The sequence below is a fragment of the Homo sapiens genome, chromosome Y, assembly GCF_000001405.40.
Source record: "Homo sapiens chromosome Y, GRCh38.p14 Primary Assembly".
Lineage (NCBI taxonomy): Eukaryota > Metazoa > Chordata > Mammalia > Primates > Hominidae > Homo > Homo sapiens.
This window is the reverse complement of record NC_000024.10, coordinates 7,738,370-7,759,297: the sequence shown is the minus strand read 5'-3', so window position 1 is coordinate 7,759,297 and position 20,928 is coordinate 7,738,370. Positions and strand designations below refer to the sequence as shown.

Sequence of the window (20,928 nt, the reverse complement as noted above, 5' to 3'; positions counted from 1 at the left end):
TTTAAAGGCTTCTTTTGAAAAATTGTAAGATTTGGCAACTCTGGCCTGGAATTTCTAGTAATGTTTGGGATATAAACTGCCTAGTTTACCATGGTTTCCACGTATCTCATTGTGTCCTCAGCATGGTAGCAACATAGCACTCACCATGTATTATCTGCTTGCGTGATTTTCTCACGGCAGAGACAAGTCTCTCTGCAACCACATTGCTCTCAGTAGTGAGACTGTGAAAGGGAATCTGACAGCACTCTGTATTTGAAGAAAATTAGAGGAGAACATATTTCTTGGTGGACATTCCTCTATCTTTTATATGAGAAAAAAATGTCTAGATTATGTACTTTGGTTTTAAAAAGAATCTTTTATAGATTGCCCATAGGCCTTTGAGTTTGAGGCCCTTGCTTTTCCCTCCAACCCTTCCCCTGCTTGGAGAATAACTACACAACCCTTGGCAGACACTAGGGTGGTGGTGAGTGAAGATCTCCAAGTGTGTCTCTGAGTTTGCACACAGTTTGCATTACAGTTGATGTTTATGTGTGAGTAATGAGGTCAACCCGACACAGAATAGGTGGTATTTTATCATGTTTAGAAACAACACTGACATCTGTGACCAGTTGTGTTGACATTTGAATTTCTCTGGCACATGGGCACATGGGCTCTTTGCTCTCTCCTTCCTTGCAGATAGGAAAGGCTTGTGTACAAGTGCTCAGTGTTTAAATCTACTTTCATATGTTTGACATATGATGTCACTTATTTAATGTGTGTGTGGTTTTTTACTTGCTATATTCAACTTTGTCTCAAGTTCTACATATAAGATGTTAAAGAAATGAGGACTGTTTGTAATGACAAAGAAGTTCTGGAGGCCAGTTGAGGTGGCTGATGCCTGTCGTCCCAGCACATTGGGAGGCTGAGGCAGGAGGATTTCTTGAGCTCAGGAGTTTGAGAGCAGCCTGGGTAAGATAGGGAGAATTCATCTTTACAAAAATTCCAAAAACATTAGCCAGGCATGGTGACATGTTCCTGTAGTACTGACTACTTCGGGGGCCAAGGTGGGAGGATTGCTTGGGCCCAGGAAGTTGAGACTGCAGTGAGCCCTTCATCATGCCACTGCACCCCAGCCTGGGCAACAGAGTAAGACACTATCTCAAAAAAAAAAACAAACAAACAGTTCTGGTAATGGATAGTGATGGTGACTGCTATTAAGTACATTGCGAATGTACTTAATGACACTGAATTGTAGACTTAAAAAATGATTAAAATGGTTAATATTATGTGATGTATATTTTACCATAATAAAAAAAATTAAAAAGTGAGGAAAGTAAGAAGTTGGAAGAAGTTTTGTGTTTTTCTGACCAGAGAAGGCACAGACCCCAGTCTTCTATTTCATTATCCCTGGTTTTTTTCCTTTAAGGTTCATTTTCCTCTTAGAATACAAGAGTTTATATTACTCATCTATGTAAGTCATTCTTTCTATTTTTCCCTTTTCCATGGACTTGTTCAGTTATCACCCAAAGATAATCTCTAGGGGAGTGGCAGATACAATGTACCCTGCCTAGGAATAACTTGAGATTTCACAGAAAAGTTGCAAAGGTATTCCAGAGAACTCTCATATGTGTTTCACCTAGTTTCCCACTACAATTAGTATCTTACACTGCCATACTATATTTGTCAAACTAAGAAATTGACAGTGGTACTTCACTATTAATTAAACTGTAGATTTTATTTGGATTTTACCATTTTTCTATGAATGTCATTTCTCAGTTCCAGGATCCAATCCAGGGTACTAAACTGCATTTAGTTGTCATGTTGCCGTGGCTTTTTAACAGGGTTTGGATGTCTTCGTTGCTTCTCCATTGCCTCCAACAGTCAGAACCACTGTTTATGTGCATTGTTCAAACTATTTTGCTATACTCCAAGGATTTGAGTTCATTTTGTCCTGTTCATTCTTGATTTCCAGGAAATCACATCTGCCAGTAGTATCCTTTTATTATCACTTCTTTTAGAAAATTCCTTTGGAATGGTGAAGTAGAGCCTCTCAACTCTCCAGTGCCCTATATAAGTGGGAGTCCCAAGATATGAGATGTGTCAGAGCTCTTTTTAGTTAATTTTTTCCAAGACTGTTTCTGAAAAATGACTCGGCAGCAAATGATGTGTTTTTTGTTGTTGTTGTTTTTTGTTTTTCAAGGAGCCAAGCAATTCTGATTCCAAATCAACATTTAAATTTGACAGTTTGCCAAATTTAGATGATTATCTGCCAGATAATCACATAAACAGATTGACAGATTTCTTCACACCTATTTGCATAGGGTGGATTAAATCCAGTTTCCCTCTTGTGATTTCAAGAAGATAAGTAAATTCCAGAGAAGATTATAAGTTTCTTAACTGAAGAAATTGACAGGGTGTCTCATACCCTTCTCCTTGTCTTACTCCCTTGATTTGACTTCTGGGAAAACAAACAAGTTCTCTTGGTTTTCTTCCTTCTTCCCTGGTTATTCTTTCTTATCTTTTGGGTGATTTATCCGCTTTTCTCCCTACCCTCTTCATGGTGGAGGGTCCCAGAATTAAATTCTTAACTCTTCTCTCTCTACATTAATGGAGATCTCATGTAGCCTCATGCTTTAAGTAATACCTGGGGCTGATGACTCCATGACTCCCAAATTTATATCTCCAGCTGCCTCTCCTGCAGTCCAGACTTCAGTACATATATTCAAGTATGTATGCATGTGCATGTTTGTGTGTATGTGTGTGTATGTATATATATAGATATTCAAATATCTACCAGACATCTCAACTTGGATATCTTCTGGATATGTCATATTCAACATATCTGAAATTTGAATTATCTTTCTTCCCCCCTAGGCCTGTGCCACCCAACCCTTCCCCATCATAGTTCTGGCAAAGTCACCGATTCTCTCAGTTGCTAGGGACAGGATCCTGGAGTCATCTTCATCCTCTTTCCTCCTTCCACACCACGCAACCTGTTTGTTTGCAAATTTTGAAGGTTTCACCCTGAAAATGTAACTGGAACCCAGCACTTCTCACTGCTTCTAGGACACTTTTGCCAACCCACTCTGAGCTACATCATCTCCTGCCTGGACCACTTAGATGGGGTCCCGGCTTCCCCCTATAGCCAGAAGGATCCTTTTTAACACTCAGGAGATCATGACATTTCTCTGTCCCACACCCTACGCAGACTTCCTCTGTCATTCTGAATAAAAGCCATTGTCTTCACTGTGGCCTGAAGGTCTATACTATCCAGCTCCCCTTAGGCTCTCCAACTGTGTTTTCCTTCCTGCGCCCTTCTGCACTGGGCCCCAGCAACAGGGCTTCTTTTCATGACCTCAGCTTAGGGCCTTTGCATGAACTGTTGTTCCCTCTGCATAGAGAGCTCATGCCCTGGATATTACCGTGTCCCAGTCCCTTACCTCCTGGAAATCTTTATTCTAAATTTCATCTCCTCAGTGCTGCTATCCTGACCACCCTTATTAGATCTACAACTGTCTCCCTGCAGCCCCTGCCATTCTCCTTACCCTGCTCTGTTTCTTTTTTTTCTTTTTTCTTTTTTTTTTTAGACAAAGTCTCACTTTGTCCTCCAGGCTGGAGTACTGTGGCATGATCTCAGCTCACTGCAACCTCCGCCTTCTGGGTTCAAGTGATTCTCCTATCTCAGCCTCCCAAGTAGCTGGAATTACAGGCATGCACCGCCATGTGTGCTAATTTTTGTATTATTAGTAGAGATGGGTTTTGTCCATGTTGGCCAGGCTGGTTTTGAACCCCTGACTTCAGGTGATCCTCCCACCTCAGCCTCCCAAAGTGCTAGGATTATAGGTGTGAGCTACCATGCCCAGACCTTTTCTTTTCTTTTCTTTTCTTTTTCTTTCTCTTATTTTCTTTTTTTTTTTTTTAACTTTCCACGGTTGGGCATAATTCCACGTTAGGTGCTCATGCATGTGTATTGTTTGTTGTCTTTTTCCTCCTGTTAGATTATTAGCTCTGCAAAGGCAGAGATTTTGTCACTTCTGTCTATTGATGAATGCTAAATTATAGTACCTGATACATAGTAGTGTGGTATATATTTAATGAATCTATGAGTAATTATGAATGGTGAAAAGTGCTAGAAAGGAAAAGTAAGAACAGAATTTTAGATGATAGTAATAGATCAGCTGCAGGTAGGATTTGTTGAGCCTCATGTTGTGCTTCTGAGCTGGGGGCTTTGCATCTTTTTGTCCCATTTAATCCTTACAGCAATGTTAAGAGATAGCAATGTTCAGAGATAGCTCCATGTAATATCCCATTCAATAGTGAAATAAACTGAAGAACAGAAAGTTTAAGTAAATTGTCCAAAGGTTCACAGCTGATTTTTGGTGTATGGTGTAGTTAGCTCTAACACCTGTAGCCTCTAACTAATAAATTTATTGGAATTTACCATGTTGGCGATGGAGTGTGATGCGGAAGCATATTTTATGATTAGCCAGGCTCTTCTCAGAGTGCCTTTATTTAACTGGATAGTGCTTAATGTTAATTTCCAGATAAAGTAGGTTGGGAGGCTTTTGCTGTTAGTTAACCCTATGTGTGTCTCCAGAAATGCATTCTATGGTTTCTTTTCCCTATTATTTAAACCCAGATCTTCCAAAATTGGAAGCCATTTGGCCTTCTGTCCAGGAGAAGTTTGGTGGTTTCCCATATTCTTTTCCAGGATGATAAAATGATATGGCCCTTTGGGGAGCATACCTAGTATTTCCCATCCCACACAGGAAGGTGGCAATGCCTGCTCAGCTGGGAGTTTCAGGTTAATGCATCTTCCATAGAAACTAGATTGAGAGCGGAATACTTATTCCTTTGTCCTGTGGTATCTCGGACAAGCAGGCCATGGCCCCTGGAGGTCAATTCTAGGTCATGTCCACTTCTGTCTCGCAGGATGGTCCCTGCCCTCAGTGACACAGAACATTCCTCACTTGAGGGAAGCTGCTGTCAGATGTCTGGCTGGATTTTGTGGGTTTGGGCCTAGGCCTGGCCAACAGTGGGTGGCCTGTTCTGAGAATGAACCTGCCATGTTTTCCTCCTCAGGGACTGTATTAGTTTTCTTTTTTCTTTTTGGTATTTATTGGGAGAACCCACCCCTAACATTTCAACGTAGGTTCTTTCTATTTTCCATAAGTGTTAGCTGGCTGAGAAATAAAGAGAGACACTACAAAGAGAGGACTTTTACAGCTGGGCTTCCAGGGTTGACATCACATATCAGGAGGACCATGATGCCTGCCTGAGTCTCAGACCAGAAAGTTTTTAAGGGTTTCAAAAGGGGAGGGGTTGTAAGAACAGAGAGTAGGTACAAAGATCACATGCTTCAAAGTGCAAAAAGCAGAACCACTGATAAGGGTCTAACAAAGATCACATGCTTCTGAGGAAACAGGGCAAAGGGCAAAAGCAAAACCGCTGATGAGGGTCTATGTTCAGTAGTGCGCCTATTGTCTTGATAAACATCTGAAACAACAGAAAACAGGGTTCAAGAGCAGAGAACCAGTCTGACAACAAATTTACTAGGGCTGAGTTTTCCCAACCCTAGTAAGCCTGAGGGTTCTGCAGGAGACCAGTGATTATCTCAGTCCTTATCTCAACCACACAAGACAGACATTCCCAGAGAGGCCCTTCATAGACCTCCCCCAAGGGATGCATTGTTTTCCCAGGGTATTAATAGTAATATTCCTTGCTAGGAAAAGAATTTAGCAATATGTTTCCTACTTGCACGTCCATTTATAGGCCCTCTGCAAGAAGAAAAATATGGCTCTTTTTGCCCGACCCTGAGGCTGTCAGACCTTATGGTTGTCTTCCCTTGTTCCATAAAAATCGCTATTATTCTGTTCTTTTTCAAGGTGCACTGATTTCATGTAGTTCAGACCCACATATTTTACAATCAATTTCTACAGTTAACACAATTACCACAGTGGTTCTGAGGTGATGTACATCCTCAGCTTACGAAGATAACAGGATTAAGATATTAAAGACAGGCATCAGAAATTATAAAAGTATTATTTGAGAACTGATAAATGTCCATATTAAAATGAAATATTCACAATTTATGTTCCTCTGCCACAACTCCAGCCAGTCCCTCCGTTCAGGGTCCCTGACTTCCCATAACAGGTATTAATTTTCTATGCTCTGTAATAAATTATAACACATTTCATGGTTCAAAACAATACGTATGGAAGGGGAACATCACATACCGGGGCCTGTTGTGGGGTAAGGGAAGAGGGGAGGGATAGCATTAGGAGATATACCTGATGTTAAATGACGAGTTGATGGGTGCAGCACATCAACATGGCACATGTCTACATTATGTAACTAACCTGAACGTTGTGCACATCTACCCTAAAACTTAAAGTATAATAAAAAAATACATATTCATTATCATACAGTTTCTGTAGCTCATCGGGGTTCTTTGCTTCAGGATTTATCAGGTAGTATCACTGTTGACTTGGGTTGCAGTCTCCTCAGAGGCTCAACTGAGGAAAGCCCCACTTCCAGCCTCCTTCAGTTTGTTGGCAGGATTCATCTCCTTGTAGTTGTGGGACTGGAATCTCTGTTTTCTTGCAGCTGTTGGCCAGGGGCTACCCAGAGTTCCTTGCCATATGGCTCTCTCTTTCTTCCTGACAGCTTTCTTCTTCAAAACCAGTAAAGGCATCTCCAGCTCAGAGGGAGTCATATAACATAATGCCATCCCAGGAGCAACATCCATCACCTTTAGCATGTTTTATTGAGTAGGTTCAAGTCACAGGCCCTGCCCCCACTCAAGGGGCTAGATTGCACAAAAGTGTGAACACCAGGAGGTAGGGATTGTTGGGAGGGGGCCATCTCAGGGTGTGTTTGCCACAGCAACCATGGTCCCCCCAACACCACCTCACCCCCAACCTCCCATGCTGGGAATTCCAGAATCTCCCTCTGGCAGCCCCATTTGTGTTTACTGGTGGATTTAATGCTGTTTTTCATAGGGTTAGTGATAAGGAGAGAGTTTCTCTTTGACTGCTCCTTCTGCCTTCAGCTCTTCTTCTATGAGGCCACAGCTGCACCATCACAGAGTGCTGACTTCATGGCTTGGCAGCCAGCATCTGTCCTCAAGGTGTTTAGGGATCCTTGCCTCTTCGTCTCCCTTTCAGTCATTCTTCAGTGTTATAATCCTTTCATTGCAAATGAGGAGCTAATTCCCAAAGACAGGAGAATGTCTATTACTTGCTCACTTATTCCTCCAATATGGATTAGATTTTCTTTTCCAGGAAACCATAGGCTGAGATGTAATTTTCCATGGTTCATCTAAAAAAATTGTAATGCCTATTTTTCTTCATTGTTTGTGCTCATTTCTGTTCAGATGTTACTGAGTTAATTATTTGATGAAATGAACCAGAGCTTCCTTTCTTGTTATAGAACTTCTTGTTCCAGAACCAAAGATGGTACTTATTAGATTCTGTGCTAAATATTATTCCCTAGAATTGATCTGGGCTGCGAGTTGCTTACAGACAGACTTGTCTCCCTTTTGTTCATCCTGTGAATGTTGTACTTAATTGATACAGCATTAACTTATTTAAAATGATTACAGTTTTTTAGCCTATTCGTTTGAAATCTCAATGGATATTTCTAACTGATCTCATATCTATATAACCTCTAAATAACCTCTGACATTAGTTTCCATGTAACAGAGCAGCCAGATTTTAGATTTCAGAACCCCCCTCCCTCATCCTGTTTTTTGTTGTTTGAGACCTCGCATGATACTTATGACAGTGTGTCTTGACCAAGTCTTCTTTTTCAAAAGTCTGGAATCACCTGCCTTAGTTCCTCTTAATATGTCTTTTGTTTGGGGAGGAGATGAGAACATGAGTCTAGTCCCTAATAAAGTATTAACGCAAAAAGTTTAGGGTTCAGAATTGATTTATTCTTTTGGATTAGTTTGTACCAGTTGAAATCAGTTTATTCTTTTACATTTTGAATGTGTGCACCATAGTACCCAACTGTTCAGAGGGTATGTTAGAAGAAAAAACAAAAACAAGCTATTGAAGTTTGCTTACCAAATCACAGGTGCACACCTGGGGAAAATCAAATCCTCTGTAATTTTTTTCACTTTTAAATTTAAGGTAAATCATACACAAATTGTTAATGGTATCTTAAATTGCTTTTAATGCTATAGGAGAATCTTAGAAGTTCATTTAAAAGCTGTATGAGAATCTTAGAAGTTCATTGAAAAATGTTGTAGCAAATAAACAATTAGAAACTGGTGAGATGCATGTATCTCAGGAGTTCAGTGTGGAAGTGCCTGCTTTACAGATTTTCTGGACAGTCCTGCTCTCACAGGGGCTGCAGGGGTGCCTCTTTGGTAGAGCAGCCTCATAAGTGGTCCAGGAGGGCTCTGCTCCCTCCTCCACCAGGGCAGATTAGCTGTGTAGATGAGCCGTGGATAAGAAGCCCGGAGTCTTTGTCTCTAATTCCCACTCCCCAGTAACCACCAGCAACCCAGGAGAGACGGTGCATTCAACCAGCCTTTAGCTGCAGTACCAGTCTTGTTGCCTTATACCTGTCTGGGCCAAGGAATCCCCTTCAATTTGTGACAACCACACGCCTTCCACTATAGTGTCATACAGGAGCCCTGCCTGTGAATGGCTGTGAAGTGCTGGAATTTCCTCTTGGTGACCACCTGCTGCTGGCTCTCCTGAATGCGCACAGTTTTGAACTGTGCTATATCACAGGGATGTCTATGTGGTGTTGCTTTGGAAAGCAGCCCCTTTGTGCAGAGATGGCAGGGTGTGCTGAGAAGTCTCTCTGTTGACAGCAGGATCACAGGCCTTCACCTCAAACAGCCCTTTACACCTACACTGTTTTCCCAGAATTTCTTTTAGTTGCTTGGTAGTGTTTATTTAATGCATCTTTAATTTTGATAGATTTTGCCAGATTGCCCTCTGAACGGGTTGAATCCTTTTAAAGTCTTTTAAAAATTATTTTTTAATTTTCTAAGTGATATACAAATATGTCATTTTCATTTAAAAATGAAAAGAAAGAGATTATAACTAAAGTCACTTTCGATCACCACCCCACACACCTACCGTCACCACCCAGCCCCCGTTCCCACATAAGCCCTCCCTGTTCCCCAGGGGTACCTGCTATTATTGGTTTGATATATGTCTTGCTATTTCTTTTTGTGTGGCCTGGCAGATATAAACCAATGGGAAATAGGCATTACTGGAGAGACAGAGAGAGAGAGAGAGAGAGAGAGAAAGAGAGAGAGAGAGAGAGAGAGAGGATAACATATAAGCTATATAGTACCAAACCCATCATTCTATAATGATATGTTATACATGATGCTACATCTTGGAGATCTTTCTATGATGCATATCTGTATATATTACTTGAGTTGTTTCTAGAAACACTTTTTCTTCAGTGCCTTTTTGACATTACTTTCAGGAAAGAATTTGGGTCTTCATTAAAGACCCAGTGATTCTTTGAAAAAAAAAATATCCAACTTGTCACGGTGCCTGACACCTATAACCCCAGCACTTTAGGAGGCCAAGGCAGGCAGATCACCTGAGGTCAGGAGTTAAGGACCAGCCTGTCCAATGTGGTGAAACCCTGTCTCTACTAAAAATACAAAGTTAGCCAGGCATGGTAGCGGGCACCTGTAATCCCAGTTCTTCGGGAGGCTGAGGCAGGAGAATTGCTTGAACCCAGGAGGCGGAGGTTGCAGTGAGTTGAGATCACGTCATTGCACTCCAGCCTGGGTGACAAGAGCGAGACTCGGTCTCAAATTTATGCAAAATATTAATCTGTGTGTGTGCATGCTTTTCTTTCACTTCATGTCTCAGAAAACAGATCTTCACAATGAAGGCTACATCTTGGAATTAGATTGCTGTTCCTCCTTAGACCACCTGACAGACCAGAAGCTCTTACCAGAGTTCATTAAGAAGGTGATCACTGGCCGGGCATGGTGGCCACCTGAGTGAATGGTCGGGGAGCTGGTTTAGGGCAAATCAGCCACACTCGAGAGGCCATGCAGGAGCCATGACCTAAATCTTTGGCAGCCCCACTGGGGAGTGGCCCACTCCAGAACTGACTCTAGAGCAAGGTGGCTAGCCCCTGTTCCCCAGGCATGTAGGAGCCTGGGTCCTGTCTTTTCAAGCTGGAGTGGGGTTAACAACTGAGAGACCTGCAGGCTCGTGCCAGGACTCCTTTCAAACCCTCAAGGTGGTGTGACTTCCCAGATCCCACCTTCCTCTTATCTATGTCTTATCTGCGAATCTTCATTACTGCCAGTCCCCTTCCCTTCCTAGTGTGGGATCAGGAAGTTACCTGGAGCTGAGATGGGAAGGATGAATGGGTGTCTTTGGCGATGTGGCTGTGCTTGGGCAGTTTGGGGAGTCCTCTAAACAGGGAACAGCATACAAGAGGGCCTGAGGCAGGAAGCAGTGACAGGAATCAAAAGAACGTCAGAGGGAGAGTGAAGGTCAGGAGAAGAGGCCAGAGACAGCTGGGACTGGGCTGTAAAAGCAGCGGGAAGCTGTTGAGAAGAATTTTGTAGAACAGCGAAGTGATTGGGTTGTCCCTTTAATGGAGATTTGTTTCTTTCCTGCCACCCTCCCTTCAAGATGTATTGAGTGTTCAGGCTCTGGGGCCTCTAGGAGCAGTCGCTCATGTATAAAGGATCTAAGGCCCATAGACCGGGAGCCAGATGATCTCTGAGGACAGAATTGCTGGTAATTTTACTAGGATGAGGGAGGCTCTTTCTAATCTGGTAGAATTCAGATTATTATTTAAGAAACTGGTGGCGGCGGGGATTAGCTTTTGTTCACCTGTGCATAAGCATGAGAACACAAGTGTTTTTATAACTCATGCAGCTTTCTGTAGAAATAGAGCCATCTCTGGAATGCTGCAAATAATCAACCTGTATAGGGACATCCTAGAGGTGGAATTTACCCTATGATCTGAATTCTGGGAAAAAATCATTGTAGAAATGTCTTGCCTGGGCAACAGCAGGGAGTGTGGCTTTCTCCCACAGGCAGGATGAGGCAATTTCCAACAGCAGGACCTGGGCGGCGAGGCCTGGAGCTAATCCTTCACCGAGGGAACAGCTTTGAGGCACTCCAATATTTTAAGTGCTTGATAGCCACATATGGCTAATGGCTACTATCTTGGACAGCATATTTTTGCAGAATTTATTCACTTAAACAATTTTCAGTTTTTCATGTTTTCTAAGTTGACAGAAAGCATTTTTGATTGAGTCTTCTCAGTTATAAGGGGATGCAGAGCACAGAACAACATATGACATGTTTGCCAAGATCTAAAAGACAATCTCCTATTTTTCCCATGAAAAAATCTTAAAAAGTTTGAGGCCAGCTTTGGCATATAGCATTTTAGGAATATATTTGAAATAATTAATTTCTGCTTATAATATTATTAATTTAGTTGCACATGCATATTTTAAATTATATAAATTGTATAAACTTGGAAATGGTGCTGTTCCCTTGTTTATATCTCATGGAATAATTTTATTTCTGTACTTTTTTTTCACGCATTGTTGCACTTGGTTGGTTTTATCATCACCAGCATGATTTTTGGGGCCATCTAACACAGTTTCAAGCTCATTCTATTTACTATCATCCAAATTGTTTGGGATTCAGCACTTCAAATGTTCATAAATCATGCATCTGTGGAAACTCTGTCCTGAGTCAAAAGTGCTCATTCACATAACATTAGGATAGTTATTTTTTTTCTTGTCCAGCTCATGTCAATAAGAAATCTCCGTAATGGAAACACTTCACATTGCTCTGAAAAAAAAAAAAGAAAGAAAACAGCTCTTTTTATTGAAGATAACATCAATACAGGAGAGTGCATAAATCATAAGTGTACTGCTCAGTGAGTTAGCACAAAATGAACACACCTGGGTAGCTAACACTCAAGTCAACAAATATTAATAGAGCAGGAGCAACAGCTTGAACCCTTCCTGTAGCCACGCCTGCAATTCCCCATTCCCCTTCCAAAGGAAACCTCTATCTAACTTCTAACACCAAAGGGTGGTTTCGCCTGTTTGTATAAATGATATCTTTTGCTCAGCACTGTGTCTGTGAGATTCATTCATGTCACAGTGGTTCCTTTGTGTTCATTTGTGTGTAGAATTCCTGCTTGCTTTTTTTTTTAAGGGACAGGGTCTCACTGTGTTGCCCAAGCTGGAGGCAGTGGTGCAGTCATACCTCACAATAGCCTCAAACCCTGACCTCAAGCCATTCTCCCCGCTCAACCTCCCAAATAGTTAGGACTACGAGCATGCAGCACCACACCCAGGTAATTTTCTAAAGATTTTTTTTATAGAGATGAAGTCATGCTGTGTTACCAAGACTGGACTCAAATGCCTTTCCTGGCCTCAAAGATCCTCCTATCCCAGGCTCCCAAAGTGCTGGGATTAGAGGTATGAGCCACCACGCCCGGCCCTGCATTGCTTTTTTAAAACCATCATTAGGAAGATTGCCTACTATAGCACTTCAAATTGTTTCCCATGTTGTAGGAATTATTTTAAATTGTTCTTAGATTTAATTTACTCCTTAAAAAAATGAAGTCCATCAGCTTACTTCAACAAATGTGCCAAACTACCTCTGATTAATATCTTTTCCCCAATAAGCATCTTGTTATTTAAAATAAAGTAACCAAGAGAGTCCTTAAATTGTGAGAGATCTTGAAAGTGTATACATGTCTAGAGCAATTCCCTCATTTTTTAGAAATAACATTTTAGGGGCTAAAATCCAGGAGATCACCAGGTTATATGTAGGCTGTATAGTGTATGACTGTTTATAAATGGTCTTTTTCACTTTCCAGCTTATGTGCACTGGAGTTTCATGGTGTAGTTACTGAATATTGGTCTCACTCTTGGCAGTGAACATAATGTCTATGGGTGCATCTATCCCTAGATATCTGCTTGGCTGACTCCTTCATCCCCTTCAAATCTTCATTCCAGGTTACTTCAGTGTACCTACCTTCCCACCTATCTTTAAAAGAGCAACTTGCCTCCTGCCACTTCTTACCTTGGTATTTTGGATTCCCTTTAGTATCCTCTATTTTTCTTTTACCTAAAGTTCTTTCATCTCTTAAGACACGTTATTGGTTTTACTTAGTTATTGTGTATATGTTTCTTGTCTTGTCTTGTCTTTTGTTTTGTTGTTGTTGTTGAGACAGAGTCTTGCTCTGTCGCCCAGGCTGGAGTGCAGTGGCAGGATCTCTGCTCACTGCAAGCTCCACCTCCTGGGTTCACACCATTCTCCTGCCTCAGCCTCCCAAGTAGCTGCGACTACAGGTGCCTGCCCCCATGTCCAGCTAATTTATTGTATTTTTAGTAGAGACTGGGTTTCACCGTGTTGGCCAGGATGGTCTGGATCTCCTGACCTAGTGATCCACCCACTTTGGCCTCTCAAAGTGATGGGATTACAGGCATGAGCCACCACACCCAGCGCTGCAACCCTTTTTTTTTTTTTTTTTTTTTTTTTTTTTTTCTGATGCTGAGCTCAGAATGGGTTATTTAGCATGTGCTCAGTGCATGTTTATAGAATGAAAGAGCAAGAACCTGTGAGTGTCCAAGGCTTGCAGGGACTCAGAATTATATGGGAACAGATGCTTTGAATGGTGATGCAATGAAGATGAAGTACAGAGGACTAGGAGACTCTTAACATTTTCTTTTTTTGCAACTCCAAGTAGATTTTTTTCAGTGTTTTAGGTGTTTGAGACTTGTTGAAAAACTTTCCATGGAAGTGACTTGTGAGGGTGGGATATCAACTGTTAATGCTTCATACTCCCTGCAGACACATTTACAAATATGGAATTTGCTGTCATCACAAGGAAAATTTCCAGATTTTTATGTATGATGCATACATATACATATATATGTATTCATGTACATATATTTATATGCACATATAACTTTTATGTATGTATGTAATATATACTTAAATATATGTAAAGGTTTATGAGCTGGAACATGTTTTAAGTTAATTAGGCACCATCAGTAAACAGATGTGGCAGCTGATTGGTTTATAGCACAGGTTGAACTTTCCCATCTGTGTGTTTAGAAGTGCTGAATATCCCCCATCATTGACGCCTCCTGTCTGGGATCCAGCACAGATAATGAGTGTGGGAATCTGAACTAACCTCGTGGCATGTGAGGGTGGGTGTCTCATCTGAGAAATGGAATGTATCTTGTCAGGCAGTTAAGCTGCCTGCTGTATCTTTCCCTGACACTGGAAGGTTTCATTTTTATTGCTTGTGGTGATGTAGAATATTTTTTGAGGGTGTTGAGAATCAGTGTGCAGAATTACAACCCACATAAGGTTTTCCCTTTTCTGCCTTTGGGAGAATTCCCACTCAAAGAACCAGATTACACTAGGATCAGAGTCAGTGGGCTGAAGTTGGCTAGAGGGCACTGCAGGAATGGGAGAAAGCACTTGGACATTAGATACTCAATTACTGAAACTGACTTGCCTCCTCAAGAAGAAATATGGAATTTTAAACCCAATTCCAGAGTATTCTCCTGATTCCAGTGAAAGAAACCCACTACCTAATAACTTAGCCATTTAGGTGGGATGTTTCTCTTTCTGAAATTCTTAACTTTCTTTTCCATAAAACAAAACCTTTGCACTAGAATGATAATCTCTAAGATTGCCTGTAGCTCTGATATTCTGTGAGTTTATGGTCAGTTCAGCTTTTAAATGACTTCCCTTTCATTGTCAAAGAGACTTATTTGATTAATTCAGGTTTACGTTAATGGTGTGCTGAGTTTTGGTGCCATATACCATCATTTTGTGAATTTAACTGGGCATGTCTCTTAGTATTCCCTCTGTTCTTCATCCAATATGGCAATGTTTGTTGATTGATTGGTAACTATTCTTGTCCTCCCATTTAACTAACAACTTTAATGGGAGCTCAGAATAATGGCAACTATTTTTACAACATTTGTTTTCCTTTTAAGATTAAAAATAAACATTGCCTTCTTTCACTCCATGGAAAAAAGTTGTGATAAAAATCTAAACTTTAAATGATTCATTTGTTGGATGACTTTTGACTTCTTATTGTTTAAAAGAATGAGAAAAAAGGCACATTACCATTACAGGGGTGGTACTGTATTCTGTACAAATAACCCAGGATATGTAAGTTGGACAAAAGATTCAAGCATTTTAATAATTCATTATTATAATTTTAGCATAAGAAATATGAGAAAATAGTATAAACTGAGGTTTCCCGTCTAAATCATTACTTTCCAATCTGGATCTTCATTCTGTTAGCCTGATGGTAGCATTCCTAATTTTGAAAAGGTAGCTGGGGGGAGTTGGGTAGTGTGGATGTTAGGGATGAGGGAGATAGAGGCGTTATTCATTGGGGTACTAGTGATGGTCTTGTTAAGTGTGATAGTGGTGATATTGGTGGGACAGTAGGGATGTTATTGTGCAACAGCAGTCAAAGGAGCTTTTAGAAAGAAAGAGTCTTCAGAAAGAAAAAGGTTGTCACATGGAGGATACAGGGAATAGAAGTCAGATGGAAAACACCTGAAGAGATGGAAAAACTTTAAAAGAAAATGTTTAAATATATTCCTAGTGGAAATAAAGTTAGATTTTTGATGGAACTATTCATCATTTCGTTTCCAAAATTGTTTCATATATATATGTGTGTGTGTGTGTGTGTGTGTGTGTGTGTGTATTTTAAGTTAAAAGCACAGGAGTCTCTGTGACCCTTTCTGACTCTGATAGTGCCTGGGAATGTGGACATCTTTCTGTGTCACTTTTGAATAGTAAAGCATCATTATTAATTTATGCTCTGCACATTTGTAACTCGTGATAAACAATAATTAAGCCTAAGTTTGCCTACAGGTTTGCTAAGCCAATTAATAATGTAAGCCATTCTGCAGGGGCACTGTTTATTTACCTCAAGGGTACCTGCTTGTTCCAGCAGTTTGTATGAACCATCACAAACTGAGAGGCTAATTACAAATTGTTTTACGACTTAATTAAAGCAGATCTCTGAAGGCTCACTTCTTGAGAGTTTTTGTGTTAACCTTGTTTACATTTCTGTGTATTTGAGAGTGCTGCTAACTGCATCTTTTATAAAGGATTATAGATTTTACATTTTACAAAATTATTGCAGTCTGGTATTTCCTATGGTTACAGATTAGTGATGATTACTTTATTTTAGAAGATGTCTATTGCTGTGTAAAAAATCACCCCAAAACATTTTGGCTTAAAACAATAACAGTTATTTATTTTGCTCACAGATCTGCAACTTGGGCAGGACTTGGCAGAGGCACCTAATCTCCATTTCTCATGGTATCAACTGGTAGTTTGGTGGTAGCTAGGGGATCTGCTTTCAAGATGAAACACTCACATGGCTGGCAAGTTGGTGTTTACTGTAGGCCTCTCCACAGACTGCTATTCCTCAAAACATGGCAACTGAGTTCTAAGAGCAAACATCACAAGAGAAGAAGGGAAAAGTTCATGGAATGTTGATGACTATCCTGTGGAAGTCACATAATGGTCTTTTTCAGCTACTCATTGGTTGAGGCCATCATAAAGACCTATAGTGGTTCAAGTAGAGGGGACATGGGTTCCAACTCTTGATGGAGGAATGGCAAAGTTCTAGCAGACCATGTGGAACAAGAGATATTGTTGTGGCCATCTTTGGAAAATAAAGTCTGCCACATACATGAATTCCGACATGCTTATGTTCATTTCTGGTTCATTCTTCTGCTAGGAGAAAACTTGGAGAATATGTAAAAAATAAAAATGAAGGCAAGAAGTGGAAACAAGTTCAGTATTGAATATAAGAGTTATTGGCCATTGAAGATAATCTTTAAATTTATAATTCTCAGTAGTTGTTAATGTAAAGCTGCTCCTTCCCTCCTGCTCCAAAAAAACCCCACCTCCTATTTGTTACTCAGTGGGATCACATATCTTCATGTGCTCTGAAACTCTCTCAAATCATTTCCATTTTCCAAAAAAAAAAAACCATCCCATGGTTCTCCAGGGTAGAGAATGTTTTATTGCTCCAAAAGAACAATAAAACATTATTTTATTTTTTTTAGCACATGGTAATGAAAACCATTCCTAAGTACTCATTTACCATGGGAGTTTCAAATGTCGTTAGGACCCTGTTATATTTTTGTTACTCTGGAGTCATGGGAATTGAAAAGTTTTTTTTTAACAAAGGGTTAAAACTAGGATGACAATACCCAATGGCACCATGTCAACATTTTGTTATAGTGCATTTCATTAATGCTTTGGAAGCCTGTGTATATCAGGGAATGGTGGGGGTAAAAAAGTCATGAATACTGGATGTTAAAGCAGTGTGGTGTGAAGAGAAACGTCTGCTCCTGGTTAAATTCTTTAAACTCATTGATTCACTCATTTAACTGTTGTGCTGAGCTTTGATTTCAATGGAGACTCTAATGCTGGTTTTCCAGAATGTTCCTGGGAGTCTTAATGAACCTTTGAGTTCTTAATGACAGGCTTGTAATTCCAAGTTCACTGGTATTACCAAAGTATAAAACAAGGGTTGTCAATCTCAGCAACTCCAAAATGCTGTTTTGTTTTGCTTTGTTTTGTTTTTTGGGACCTATATTGCCTCATCTTCGTGCCTTTGTGAAAGAAGGCCTGTGGGTATGCCTGATTATGAGGGATTTTTTACCTGATAAGAAACACTGATGTTAACAAATTGCTTATTGCTGCCTCTTTCTTTCTCCTGAGGGGAAGACTGACTTGGTTTCCTAAGAAGTGGACTGAAAACCCAAGAACCTCACATTTTAACAGCAATGCTTTCTTGAGACATGTCTCTGAAGCTGCAACCCTGTTAATGTCTCTAGGCCTCAGTTTTCTTCACTGTTAAGATGATAGGAGTAGCAAATGAAGTGCAAGTTTTCTGCATCTCAGATGAATATAATTTCAAAACATTATTCCCCCCAGATGGCTGTTTCTTGAAATTGTAGACTCATAGATGTTTCCACTTGGCGGTAACCTCAGATACTGCCAATTTAATCTCATACCTATTCATTCCTTTAATAAATGCCCACTAAGTACTTACTGTTTACCAGGAACAGTTCTAGATGCTGAGGACCAAGTAGGAGGCAAAATTGACAAAATTTCTGTTCTCATAGAGCTCTCATCTAGCTAGGAAAACCAGTTGTAGGGAGATGGAAGGGGGAACAGCACCCCAAACAGGGATCTTCAAAGTGCTGAGGCCCCCTGATGGGAACAAACTTTGGTTAAAAAAAAAAAAATAAGACAAAGGCTTGTGAAGGTGTCAGGAGTTTGGGATGTGGCCTGAGAGGTGGGCAAGGCCCAGTTCAGGGGCAAGTATTGTTGGACTCTGTGGGCCAACTTCAGTTTGGGAATGTTATTCTAAATGGGACACTATTGAAGAGTTAAAACAAGCAGCCTTAACTGGCTCACATCTTTCAGAGACCAACCTGGCTGCTGTGAGGGCTGTATGTAGGCCAGCAGGCAGGGAGAAAACCAGCAGGAAGAAAACCAGGAGCAGGAGGGTAGTGGTGAGGCCAGGGAAGAGCATCTCCAGGGGGAGAGAATGCATGGGGTGCCACAGAGGATGGGGTAGTGAGGGCTGAAGATCCTGTGAGATTTGGCTTCATGGAGGTCACAGGAGGGCTGTGGGGAGCTGCCTGTGGGAGGCAGTACAGAAGCCAGAGATTGAGTGGAGGTAGAGTCAGTGGGGCAGAGGTGGGTGGCCAAGGCTTACTTTCTTCTGTTGTTGGTTGGATTCTTTCCTCTTTTTCTTTTTTTTTTTTTTTTTAAGATAGCTTGAATTTAGTTGTATGCTGAGTGGAAGGAGCCAGGAAAGAGAGAGAGAGAAAGAGAGAGGGAGAAAGAGAGAGAGAGAGAGAGAGAGAGAGAGAGGGAGAGAGACAGACAGACCAAGGATATAGAAAAGAGAAATGATCTGATCCTAAGTAGAGTTGGGTCTTCCAGGGTGGCAGAAAACGTGAGCCCCATGGCCTAGGTTTTGACTTAACCAGATCCCACTGATGATGGGGACAAAGAGTGGAGGGCCAGAAGAGGACATGGGGATGGGCTTCTCAGCTTCTGACCTTGATTTTTTCTTTAAGTCATCTCTGGAGAATGGTAGGAAAGTGGGGAGAGGGTGGGGTCCAGGAGAAGGGAGAAAGACACAAGAAAGCTGGCGAAGCACAAGACAGCTGGTCAGGGATGAAGCAAGCCACTGCAGGATGGCCATGTGGCCTCAGCCTCAATGGGAGACCTTGAGTCTTCTTTCTTGTGATCCTAGGTGGATTGGATGGATGCGACATTTGTAGGGGGTGTCAGACAGAGAAAGCGAAGGATTTAATAGCAGGAGAGTGATGGAAGCAGTGGGTCATGTGCTGGACAGGAAAGAGGAGAAGGAACAGTCCTCTGAGTGCCTCTTAAAGCAGCTTTCTGGGTCTTTGCTGCTGATCATGTTGAACCAGGTGATCATATATCCCAGCTTGCTCAGACAGTCCCTGTTCATGCCTGTCATCTGAGCATGATTATTATTTCACCCTTTGGTTCAATTGTTTGGCAAATCAGTGTGCCATGGTATATCACAGACTGCTGCCTCTACTTTTGGTCTCCCATGGACTTCTCACATCCCTTCCCATAGGAAATGTAGGCTCTTCTGACCTTTCCCGTGAGCTCTGCACTGACTTCCAGGCCCCAGCCATGCCCCTTGCCTCCTGTCTCCTCACTGTCTTACCAACCCTAACTTCAATCCATACCACATCCTGTGGGCAGATTCATTTTCCTTAGGACAGGCTTAATTATGTCACTTTGCTCAGAAGTCATGATGGCATCTCATCACCTTCAGAATTAAAAGTTCATACTCTAAAGATGCAAGACTCTGCCATCTAGCCCTGGTATTTCCCAGTACAGCTTATGGTGTAGGAATATTGTGAATACAGCACTGAGTAGTGTAACAGGTAGTAACACAGACTCTGGAGCCAGCTGCCTAGGTTTGAATCCTACTTGCCCTTTACTAGTTGTCTGACTTTGGAGAAGTTGTCCAACACCTCTGTGCCTCAGTTCTTTAATCTGGAAAATAGGGATAAAAATTAATACTTATTGTTATTGTTATTATAAGGATTAAGTGAGTTAATCCATGAACATCCTTTAAAACAGTGTTGGGCATACAATAAACTCTCAGTAAATTATAACTGCAGATTTTCAGTGAAAGCACACTGAACATTTGCTCTTCCCTGAGTAACTTCTGAGTCTTTTTCATTTTTTCACTTTTGCTAGCCCTGTTTCTCATAGGAATCCTTCTCCCAAAACATTTCCGTATGCACAGATTTTACCTGTGGATAAGGTTAAATTCATGGTTACCAATCATGGATTTTGGCAGCCACAGAACTAACAGACTGGGAAGACTGGCACACATTCTTTGACTCCCATAGGACAGTGACAAAACTCTCTTTAAATGCTTTGCTAACATAATGTTTTGATGTTTGATTAATCCATATCCTTGTAGATGTGCAGCAGTATTTAATGGAAGCCTGGGTGTCTTGCAACCTTGGACGGGGGTGGCAGATTCTCCTGCCAATTCTCTTCCTAAGTGGTCCTATTTGAATGATGGTAGTTCTCATGAGCCAAGGTCTTCTTTGCTCCAGAATCCTGTTCTCAGCACAGACAACCACACATATGTTGAATTCTGCTGATGGGCATACACTGGGAGACATTGGGATGTTCTGGGGCAAGGAAAATCTGCCAGAGGTGACTCCTGACTGCTCCAGCATGTTGAATCTTTGTACTGTGCCCTCCTGGTCTGGACATGCATCTACTGTGACAAACTACTCTGTGTAGTGGAATAGTTGGGAGTTGCTTGGTGATTCCAAAAAGTGCTCTTAATGAACAATGTTGAGCAGACCTGAAGGAGATATGCACAGATATC

At 41.2% G+C, this 20,928-nt stretch overlaps 1 pseudogene; it reads left to right on the top strand.

The window, feature by feature from the left end:
• The window catches only part of RFTN1P1 (raftlin, lipid raft linker 1 pseudogene 1), a 63,733-nt pseudogene that overhangs the window by 17,413 nt on the left and 25,392 nt on the right, over nucleotides 1–20,928 (top strand).